Source organism: Homo sapiens, chromosome 3 (genome assembly GCF_000001405.40).
Source record: "Homo sapiens chromosome 3, GRCh38.p14 Primary Assembly".
NCBI classification, from domain to species: Eukaryota; Metazoa; Chordata; class Mammalia; order Primates; family Hominidae; genus Homo; species Homo sapiens.
This window is the reverse complement of record NC_000003.12, coordinates 181,499,494-181,511,647: the sequence shown is the minus strand read 5'-3', so window position 1 is coordinate 181,511,647 and position 12,154 is coordinate 181,499,494. Positions and strand designations below refer to the sequence as shown.

General features: G+C 39.3%; 1 long non-coding RNA gene and 1 pseudogene across 3 annotated transcripts in view; one reads left to right on the top strand and one right to left on the bottom strand.

Moving 5' to 3' along the window:
• Nucleotides 1-12,154, bottom strand: part of SOX2-OT (SOX2 overlapping transcript) — a 685,549-nt gene that overhangs the window by 230,581 nt on the left and 442,814 nt on the right. The window lies entirely within an intron of this gene.
• On the top strand, nt 5,753-6,639 carry RPL7AP25 (ribosomal protein L7a pseudogene 25; annotated as a pseudogene).

Below are 12,154 nucleotides of genomic sequence, written 5' to 3'. Positions count from 1 at the left end.
CATATCATTCCACCCCTGGCACCTCCCAAATCTCATGTCCTCAGATTTCAAAACCAATCATGCCTTCCCAACAGTCCCCTAAAGTCTTAAATCATTTCAGCATTAACTCAAAAGTCCACAGTCCAATGACTTATCTGAGACAAGGCAAGTCTCTTCCACCTATAAGCCTGTAAAATCAAAGCAAGTTAGTTGCTTCCTAGATACAATGGGGGTAAAGGCACATTGGGTGTATAGGTATTGGGTAAATACAGCCATTCCAAATGGAAGAAATTGGCCAAAACAAAGGGGCTAAAGTCCCCATGCAAGTCCAAAATCCAGCAGGGCAGTCAAATCTAAAAGGTCCAAAATGATCTCCTTTGACTCTATATCTCGCATCTGGGTCACGCTGATGCAAGAGGTGGGTTCCCATGGTCTTGGGCAGCTCTGCTCCTGTGGCTCTGCAGGGTACAGCCTCCCTCCCAGCTGCTTTCATGGGCTGGCATTGAGTGTCTGCAGCTTTTCCAGGTACATAGCGCAAGCTGTCAGTGGGATCCACCATTCTGGGGTCTGGAGGATGGTGGCCTTCTTCTCACACCTCCACTAGGTGGTGCCCCAGTGGGGACTCTGTGTGGGGGCTCTAACCTCACATTTCCCTTCCGCACTGCCCTAGCAGAGGTTCTCCATGAGAGCCCTGCCCCTGCAGCAAACTTCTGCCTGGACATCCAGGCGTTTCCATACATCCTCTGAAATCTAGGCAGAGCTTCCCAAACCCCAGTTCTTGACTTCTGTGCACTCACAGGCTCAACACCACATGGAAGCTGCTAAGGTTTGGGGTTTGCACCCTCTGAAGCTGTAGCCTGAGTTGTACCTTGGTCCCTTTTAGTCACAGCTGTGGCAGCTGGCACGCAGAGCACCAAGTCCCTAGGCTGCACACAGCATGGGCAACCTGGGCCTGGCCCACTAAACCATTTTTTCCTCCTAGGCCTCCGGGCCTGTGGTGATAGAAGCTGCTGTGAAGACCTCTGACATGCCCTGGAGACATTTTCCCCATTGTCTTGGGGATTAACACTCGGCTTCTGGTTACTTATGCAAATTTCTGCAGCTGGCTTGACTTTCTCCTCAGAAAATTGGATTTTCTTTTCTCTTGCATTGTCAGGCTACATATTTTCTGAACTTTTAGGCTCTGCTTTCCTTATAAAACTGAATGCCTTTAAAAGCACCCAAGTTACCTCTTGAGTGCTTTGCTGCTTAGAAATTTCTTCTGCCAGATACCCTAAACCATCTCTCTCAAGTTCAAAGTTCCACAGATCTCTAGGGCAGGGGCAAAATGCCACCAGTCTCTTTGCTAAAACATAACAAGAGTCACCTTTGCTCCAGTTCCCAACAAGTTCCTCATTTCCAGCTGCTACCACCTCAGTCTGGACCTGGACCTTATTGTCCATATTGCCATCAGCATTTTGGGCAAAGCCATTCAACAAGTCTCTAGGAAGTTCCAAACTTTCCCACATTTTCCTGTCTTCTTTTGAGCCCTCCAAACTGTTCCAATGTCTGCCTGATACTCAGTTCCAACATCGCTTCCACATTTTCAGGTATCTTTTCAGCAGTGCTCCCACTCTATTGGTACCAATTTACTGTACTAATCCGTATTCATGCTGTTGATAAAATCATATCCAAGCCTGGGCAATTAACAAAAGAAGGAGGCTTATTGGACTTACAGTTCCACGTGGCTGGAGAGGTCTCATAATCATGGCAGAAGGTGAAAGGCACATCTCACATGGCAGCAGACAAGAGAAGAGAGCTTGTGCAGGGAAACTCTCCTTTTTAAAACCATCAGATCTCATGAGACTCATTCACTATCACAAGAACAGCACAGCAAAGACTTGTCCCTGTAATTCAGTCACCTCTCACTGGGTTCCTCCCATGACATGTGGGAATTGTGGGAGTTACAATTCAAGATGAGATTTGGGTGGGGACACTGCCAAACCATATCACATGGCATTTGCTTTAAATTGTTTTGTTTGTGTTTACAATGAATTCTACATATTTCTGTCTCTCAGACTATTCTGTGTAAAATCCTTAGGGCAGAGATCATTTCCTATAGTTATTTTTATATGTCCTATATTCACTTTTATTCTTCAAAGTCTTACGTGGTGCCTACCAAATGTTTGTGATTTGATGGAATTTGAATGGTTCCCATCAATTCTATCTTGCTTTTGGGCTACATATTATTATACATTTCTGTTATATGTATTCCACTTTAAGTGTCTCACGTTATTTCTTTATGCATGGCATATATCACAAATTGTAAGTTGGCCTTTGCTTGGCTCAACATCCACCCTCTTCTACTTCCACCACCTCTTGAGTAACTCTCCTCCTCAAGTGCTTAAAAATAATACTCTGGTATTCCATAAAGTCAGGGAGGTATTCAATAAACATTTTTTGCTTATTAGGAAAGAAAAATGATAATTTTTTTGGCTGAGGCTTCAAAGAAAATTCAAGACAAAAGTATCATTAACATCAATCACTGTAGAACACAATAGAAGACAAAGGTTTCCACACCAATCTTTTTCAATTTTTGGTTAGGTAGAGGGCCTAGGGAATTAAACCCTACTATTATTTTCCTCCTCTATTATTATTGCATAGTTTAGAGAAGACCTTTGCAAGTCAGTCTAATAATAATGCTGCCCCTCATTGAGCATGTACTCTGAGCAGACAGTGCTGATGGCTTGACTTGCATTGTCTCATGTAATCCTTCCAATAATACTAAAAATTCATTTTCAAGATTAGAGAACTGAGACTCAGCAAGGTAAAGTAACTTGTCCAATGTCACAGAGCTAGTAGATGGTAGAGCTGGTATGCCTGATATACGATCACGCAGACTTTGAATTATCATTTCCAGTGACAGGTAAATAATCATGTCATCCTTCCAATAATACTAAAAATTCATTTTCAAGATTAGAGAACTGAGACTCAGCAAGGTAAAGTAACTTGTCCAACATCACAGAGCTAGTAGATGGTAGAGCTGGTATGCCTGATACACAATCATGCAGACTTTGAATTACAATTTCCAGTGACAGGTAAATCATCATGTCATTTGAAAACAAACAATATTTTTGTTAGGACAACTTAAAGTATATTGAATCAAAATGTGTAGCTTTTAGCTCATCTGTGGAAAAGGTCTAATTCTTATCTCCTAAGAATTCTAATTCTTAAGAATTCGCCCTATTAGTATTTAGAGTCTGTTGCTATTTTTTCAATTAACTATTGTGGGTTTCTTTTTAAGACTCAGTATCTTCAGCTCCTTCAGCTGTTACTCATGTGACTTGGCCTCAGCTCTTACACCCTCTGGGATGCTATCTTTTGGAAAAACTCCAGCTGTGTCAATCAATGTCCCTCTTAGAACTTGATGAAGCCCATAGCTAAACAACACCCCAGATGTTTTCTAACTGGTACAGATGGCAATGAAAATATCACCTCCTTTGTCCAGACATTTACTTCTGTTGATGTAGTCTGAAATTGCATTAGGTTTCTTGGCAACTAAGCACTTACTGGTTCACTTTATACTTGCTGTCAACTAAAACCTTGTATTTTTTAACTTTTACATGAGTTATAAGTATTATGAAATTTATGAATGGGAATTTATAGATTATAAATCACTATACTAATGTGATCTATTAACAGTAGTATATATGGTAGATTTGACCCATATTTAAAGAAAAAGAATTCACAGAACAAATTTTAATTGGTGCATATTTAGTACTTCCTTCTAAAAATGCCTGTAGCGTTTTTAAAAAACAGGTTAGGCCAATCTGCCTGCAAATAATAGAGGCAACTCTGTAACTAGGAGTTTTATCACCCATGGACTCTAATATTTCTTTTCTTTCTTTCTTTTTTTTTTTTTTTTGAGACAGAGTCTCACTCTGTTGCCCAGGCTGGAGTGCAGGGCCATGATCTTGGCTCACCTCAACCTCTGCCTCCTGGGTTCAACTGATTCTCATGTGTCAGTCTCCCAAGCAGCTGGGATTACAAGCATGCACCACCATGCCCAGCTAATTTTTTTTTTTTTTTTTTTTGTATTTTTCAGTAGAGATGAGGTTTCACCATGTTGGCCAGGCTGGTCTTGAACTCTTGTCTTCAAGTGATCTGCCTGCCTCAGCCTCCCAAAGTGCTAGGATTACAGGCATGAGCCACTGCACCTGGCCACCCATGGACCCTAATATTTCTAGAATGCTCTGGTGCTCAACTTCAATCTAGAAATCAGGAAACACAATTTTTATTATGCAGGCTGCTCTGGGCAACTACTAACAGGTCAGAATATTTACACTTGGGCAGAGTCTCTTCATCAGATATACAGATGGAAATCATAGTATTTGGTAGCTTCCTGAGGGAAAATAGCCATCCTGGAAAAGCAAGAAGTGCCCTGCCTAAGAACTGGAACTAATACATTTTAGTTCTGAAACTTTTACTAATCACATAGTAAGTGCATAACATTATAGTAGGTTCTTTGAAGGCTGCAAGCACAAATGGGTTCCTGCCTTTATTCTAAGAAAGGAGACAGATATTTGCATACATAAGTAGAAGTACATTCATATATAACCATCATCAATGAGTCCACTTTCATATTTAGTCAATATCATATATAAACATCATCAATGAGTCCACTTTCATATTTAGTCAATACCTTATAAAATAATAAAGATCATTTAGGAACATGACTTTTTTTTTACGTAATCTGGACTCTTCAGGAGGCCTCAAGTTTTCTACAAACTTAATAATAGCATAGAGGCACCTCTACTGATACAGTTGCTCATTCATTCAGTCAACGACCACATCAAGTTTAGGAAACTCTAGTAACTGGGTCTGACTAGAATTAATGTATTTATGGGGAATGAGAGCCAAAAGATCTACACTACTAGGCAGGGGCCACGTATAAAGGGCCTTGTTTGTTGAAGCAGAACATATGTTATTTTTATGTAGGCACTACCCTTCTCTACATTCTCTTCGTATCAGAACATTCTTTTCCATGAGGGAACCCTATTCACGTGGTTGGTGAAGGCAAAAAGACACTGCCCCTTTCGTCCCTCACCCAGACACAAGGGTGGGCACATGACCTAGGCATGGGCAATCAGAGAACCCTATACTTCAGGCCACAGTGATCAGTATGGGCAAGCAAATGACCCAAGGCAGGCTAATCAGGATCCTGCCCTGGGCTTTTCTGTTACAGATACTGAGAAAGAAAAATTATTTTTTGGAGGGGCTGCTGAGCTGATACAATGGGAATGATGGTGGGGTTAGGGGAAAGGAGGCTGCCAGCACCACCTTGATGCCAAGTGGACACAGTCTGAGAAGCACACCAAGATAGAGCCCTGATGATATCATTTGTCACTGAATGAAGCCAGGTCTGTCCCTTGCATTTTATAGTTATGTTAGCTATGCTGGTTATACTAGTTAAAGGGATAAATAGGATTTATCCCATTTATTGTTTAGGTTGGTTTGAATCAGTTTTTGTTATTTACAACTTGACTCTAAAGTTTATGTCATCATATGGAATTTGATATCATGACATTAATATCAAAATGTACATTGTATTTCTAAGTATTACATATCTATATTTGGTGTAAGTGTAAATATGTACATATATACATACATATACATATATGTTGTATGTATTTATGTATGTATGTATGTGCTTATCTACCTATCTACCTCATACAGGCTAAAATACTGTGTCCAATACCCTGATCTAAACTTTATTACAATTTCAACCTCACTGTCTCTTCTGCCACCCAAAACACGGAAAGAAGGCCAACGGGAAGAAGGTGGCTCTAGACCCTGCTGTCTTGAAGAAGCAGGAGGCCAGGAAAGGGGTGAATCCCCTGTTAGAGAAAAGGCCTAAAAATTTTGCCATTGGACAGGATATTCAGCTCAAAAGGGACCTCACCTGCTTTGTCAAATGGCCCCACTATATCAGGTTGCCGTGTCAAAGAGCTATCCACTATAAGTAGCTGAAAGTGCCTCCTGCAATTAACCAGTTTACCCAGGCCTTGGACCTCCAAAACAGCCACTCAGCTGCTTAAGCTGGCCCACAAGTACAGACCAGAGACATGGAAAGAACAGAAGAAGAGACTATTGGCCCATGCTGAGACGAAAGCTACTGGCAAAGGGGACATCCCCACCAAGAGACCACTTGTCCTTCTAGAAGGAGTTACCACCATCATCACTTTGGTGGAGAAGAAGAAGGCTCAGCTGGTGGAGAACAAGAAGGCTCAACTGGTAGTGACTGCACATGACGTGGATCTCATGGAGTTGGTTGTCTACCCGTCTGCCCCGTCTCATAAAATGGGGGTCCCTTACTGCATTATTAAGGGGAAGGCAAGACTGGGATATTTATGAAGACCTGTACCACTGTTGCCTTCACATAGGTTAGCTCAGAAGACAAAAGAGCTTTGGCTAAGCTGGTGGAAGCTATTAGGACTAATTACAATGACACATATGATGAGATCTGTTGTCACTGGGGAGGTATTGTCCTGGGTCCCATATCTGTGGCTCACATAGCCAAGCTGGAAAGGCAAAGGCTAAAGAAGTCGCCACTAAAGGGTTAACTGTACACTGCTGAGTTTTCTGTACATAAAAATAATTAAAATAATACAAATTCCCCTTAAAAAGTTTCAGTCTCACCTTTGACAAGGTATAGTTTCTTTCCCTATATTCTATTGCAAAATAGATTTTTATAAGCATTCCTACTTATGAAGACGCTTTGAGAATTAATGAGCTAAAATGAGCTGGCTTTGGGGATGTGAATAGAGGCTGCTGACGCCAAGTGATTAACATATACCTGTTGAAAGCAGGCTTATGAGGTCTCCACTTACCCATGCCTTAATTATAGCCAACTCCAGTGCTTCTTTAGCTTCTAATTTTGGATGAATATCCAAATTCTAAAATTTACTAGCTAGTGCTCTATTTGCAAAAATGGAGAACATCGCAATCTTAAAACTTGCTTCATAATTGATCTTCATAATTTTATGATGCATCAAAATAAGTCACGTCTGAAGTAAATTCTAATTTTAGATGGTGCTGCTTTTTAAATTTGTATCAAAACTCACTTTAATGTAGAATCATTTCCAGTACAGTTACTGGTAAAGACATATTTCAAAAGAAGGAAGAATCTGCACGGCTTTTTTCTGACCGAATGAGACCTCTAAAACAAATTCTCATCTATAATGCATGGAGTTTATTTTAAAGCAAAAATTATGCCACACTTTGCCATGAGTAAATAATTACATTTTCAACTCTCATCCTCCTTTGTTCAGGGCCAGTCATAGTTGGATTGATCCACAAAAACATTACTTTGAATTTTTCCAATAATTTAATAAAAAGTTATATGCATTAATATTACAGATTGCCTATACATGCAAACAAGCACACCTACAACAATTTGACCAGTTAAATGAGAATAATTTCTTATTTTAAAAAAGTAGTCAATCAGTTTTATTATTTTTTTGGCTGATTGATGAAACTGGGCTTTTGGTGTACCACCTAAAGCAAGCCTAAGGCATCAGAAAAGATGCAAGCTTTGCCCAGGGAACCATAATAAAACTTAATTGCTGAATATAGTGAGAGGACAGCTGCGCCTTATAAATGCTAAGTTTATTTTTTATTTTTACTTATTTATTTATTTAGAAACAGGGTCTCCTTTTGTGGCCTAGACTGTAGCCTCCAACTCTCAGGCTCAAGCAACCCTCCTGCCTCAGCCTCCTGAGTAGCTGGGACTACAGGTGTGCACCATCATGCTTGGCTAGTTTATTTTATTTTTTGTAGAGATGGGGTTTTACTATGTTGACCAGGTTGGTTCAAACTCCTGGGCTCAAGCGATCCTCCCACCTTGGCCTCCCAAAGTGCTGGGATTACAGGCATGAACCACTGCGCCCGGCCTCCTGCAAAGTTTAAATTCAGCTGTGTGAAGATAGTTGATACCTACAGCAAACAGTCACCAGAATTCAAATACTCATTTTGTTTCAGTACTTTAACAAACAGGGCTATATAAAATCCATGTAGAGTTAGGTCAAATCCAACTTACTTTAGGAGTTTTGTTAATGCTTTGCTGATACAACTCAATATACACTTTGAAAAGTAAAACATTCAAGTACATTGTTTTTTGTAAAGCCAAAAGCCTGTCTGACTTTGTATGTGTTTTAAAACTATTAAAAACAAAATTCAGCAGAAACTGGAAGTTATCTTGTCTTTTGATACCTAAGCTAGGGATTTGCATCCCTGGCTGAACATTAAAATCAGCTGAGAAACTTAAAAACAATCTTTGCCTGCAACCACCTCGAGAGATTCTGATTTATATGGCCTGGGATGGAGCTCACACTTTTTTTTTTTTAAGCTTCTCAATTGATTCTAATATGCAAGTAACTTTGAAAATGACTGGTCTAAACTTTTCTTTTTGAGACGGAGTCTCACTCTGTCACCCAGGCTGGAGTACAATGGCGCAATCTCGGCTCACTGCAACCTCCTGGGCTCAATCAATCCTCCCGCCTCAGCCTTCCAAGTAGTTGGGTCTGTAGGCACATGCCAACACACCTGGCAAATATTTGTATTTATTGTAGAGATGGGGTTTTACCATGTTGCCCACTTTGGTCTCAAACTCCTGGGCTCAAGCAATCAACCCCCCTCAGCCTCTGAAAGTGCTGAGATTACAGGTGTGAGCCACGCACCCAGGCTGTTCTAAACTTTTCTAATCCTTAAAACATTATTTATGGAGAGAGGAAAGAAAGAGCATGATAGTCTATATTAGATTAACAATTGTGCCAGTTACCTGATTTCCCAGAGCTTTGGTTTTCTTGTCTTTAAAATGTGAATAATGCTGTCTCTTGAGATATTTTCAAGGATTACCAGGATAAAATATGTGGCCCAGAGTAATGCTTGGGATATCAGGGGTTGAATGCTCAAAAACCTACAAGGGGTCGGGCGTGGTGGCTCACGCCTGTAATCCCAGCACTTTGGGAGGCCGAGGTGGGTGGATCACGAGGTCAGGAGATTGAGACCATCCTGGCTAACACAGAGAAGCCTCGTCTCTACTAAAAATAGAAAAAAAAGTAGCCGAGTGTGGTGGCATGCACCTGTAGTCCCAGCTACTTGGGAGGCTGAGGCAGGAGAATCGTTTGAACAGGGGAGGCGAAGAAAGGAGGTTGCAGTGAGCGGAGATCGTGCCACTGCACTCCAGCCTGAGCTGGACTCCAGCCTGAGTGAGACTCCATCTCAAAAAAATAAAAATAAAAAAGAAAACAAACAAACAAACAAACCTACAGGGGATCAGGTAGGTAACCAAGCTGCAGGTAAGATGAAAGGGGCTGGTGGGGATTATGGTAAAATAGAAGAGACTCAATTCGAAGGGGGCATCCACTGTCTAGTTTCTTCCAATTGTCATGTAGAAATCTAAGTCAGTGCTCTAAAGTCTTTTGACTTTTTAAGAAAAGAGAAACAAACTAGCTATTTTAAGTGTAAAATTTTCCTACTTTTAAAGCAGCCAAACAAAATACCTGTATGTCACTAATTTTCTACTTGGGAAAGTGTTAATTTCCTTTTGCCATCTAAATCTACCTCATGTCATGTGGTTGTGGATAATTTCAGGATTTGTCCTTGTTTTAGGTTAGTTTTAATTAAATAATTAAGCATTCATTTCTCTTTGCTGCCAAGTATTTCTTCTGAAATGGATCAAGGATTTCTAGCTATGATTTGGCATAATACAGCATATAATGGATCTATTACCCTTCATCTCTTATGCGGTTAAAACAAAATGTACCATGACACACTTTCCCCATGTTGTCAATGGCACAATTTTATCTTCCTTTATTCGTATCTACCTTCCCCTATCAGCAATAAGCCTGACGTGTGATACTAGAGTTCTTTCTTCAATTTTAACCCATGTCATCACTTAAAATTTTTTGTTTTTCTTTTTTAGACATAAATGTGATATCTGGCCATTTGAATTGCACCAATAAAGCCTAGGCTTTCTAAAGAACACTACGTTTTCTTGTTCTACTGTGTCCACTTAGCTCACTGTTATTAATATATACATATATAAATGAATGAAAGTAGCCTCTTTATCTTTCTTTAGAAACCTAAAAATCCGATAATATATCAATACCTCTTGTTTCCATGAGGTAGGTGTGAAGTACCTTGAATCCTTCCAATGAAAGCATTGATGGTTCATATTCCCTACCGCAGCAGCTGAAAATGGACATCAGAGGTTTGTAAATGGACTTGCTGAGTATCTCTGTCACCATTATAAGCCATATAGATAACAGATGACACAAAACTTTCCTCTGTGGATTATGAATAATAAACAAAAAATCTGTACCAAGTTTTTTAAAAATTGAGTTTTTTTTTTTATACCTGCACTCACTCTATAGAAGTTTGGGAAATTGTACCAAGATTGATGAGAGGGGAAAAAGTGAACTGATAGTTGAAAGTGACATTTATTTGTGAAAGGTGCTTTCCCTTGAGTATGCTTCCAACAGAGTTATATGTGAAGTTAGAAAAGGTTTTGATCTGAATTGGGGTCTCTTAAAAACAATAGATTAATCTTGAAGACCTCCTTGTGTGAATTCAGGCTTAAATAAATCAGTTAGAAAATATCCAAATGTTGGCTGGGCATAGTGGCTCATGCCTGTAATCCCAGAACTTTGGAAGGCTGAGGTGGGTGGATCACTTGAGTTCAAGCATTTGAGACCAGACTGGCCAACGTGATGAAACCCAGTCTCTACTAAAGAAACAAAAATTAGCTGGGCATGGTGGTGCATGTCTGTAATCCCAGCTACTCGGGAAGCCAAGGCAGGAGAATAACTTGAACCTGGGAGGCAGAGGTTGCAGTGAGCCGAGGTGTGCCACTGCAATTCAGCCTGGGCAACAGAGTGAGACTCTGTCTCAAAAAGAAAAAGGAAAAAGGAAATATCCAAATGCCTACAGTGGTTGATAATTAAGTGATGTTTGACTTGATAGTCATAAACAATATGAATAATTATAGTTATAAATATAAAAAGCTATAAGTTGATTCATAGTTAATTCATAAAATTTACTGTTGTTAACAGAAGAAATAAATAAATAAAAATTTCTGCGGAACTCTAGCATTTGTAGAACCTCCCATTTCACTTAAGGGAGGATGCCATGATTGCTACTGGGAATATCACTTGTTGAAGGGTAACATTGTCTTTATTTTTCTATGGTAGAAGCAAATCATAGAACTTAAAAAAATTGACAATATGATCACCTGTGTGTATGTAACATACATGTACACAAGTCTGGCTTCCTTTCTCCCTTTCATTTTCTTTTCTCATTTTTTCCTTTCTTCCTTCTTTGTAACAAAGAAATAAGTAAACATTCACTGCTGCAATGTAACCAACTTTTGTGAGAGGGGAGCAATCGATAATTACCATCTGCTAAAGTTTTGGTTAAAGGCATTATTTAAAAACATACTAGACAATTTTATTTTTTTTTTGCAGGAAAGAAGAATTCAGGAAGTATGGGGTGTTCAAATATTTTATCTGCTGTATTTAAAGTAGAGCTCCTGCTAGCTGTTTTTCATAGAATCATAGAAAGCTAGACTTGGAAGCAACCTGAGACAGCAACTAGATTAAATTCCTCATTTAACAGAAAAAAAGACTGAGACCCTTATGGCTAAGTATTATTCACAGACAACCAAAATTTAAAGCCAAAATTTAAACCCAAGTCTTTGGAATCCCAAGTCAGCAGCTTTTTCAACTCTACCAAAAACCCAACTTAAAAAAAAAAAATGAAAACTCTCAGTTCATAATTCTCAGCATAGGTTTAATTTAAAACTTAATAAGATTAAGGTTAAAAATAACCCTTTCATTTGGTAAAAAACTTAACCAGAGTAGCAACATATAAAGAGACCATTTTCTTGTTCATTGGCTTAAATTTCAACCAGTAGTTTTGATACAGTATACATCATTTAACCCTTAATTCCCACCATAATAAGGTAAAAGAGTGGTATTGGGCAAATATTGTTCTTGCTCAAAAAGATTAACTATAATCATATAAGTTAGTTCTGATATTCATGTTCATTGCCAAAAAATAGATTAGACTGGGATATTGAATGCTGTGTTTATAGAAAACATGCTGTGAATAGTACACATATTTGGCATTAGAAAAC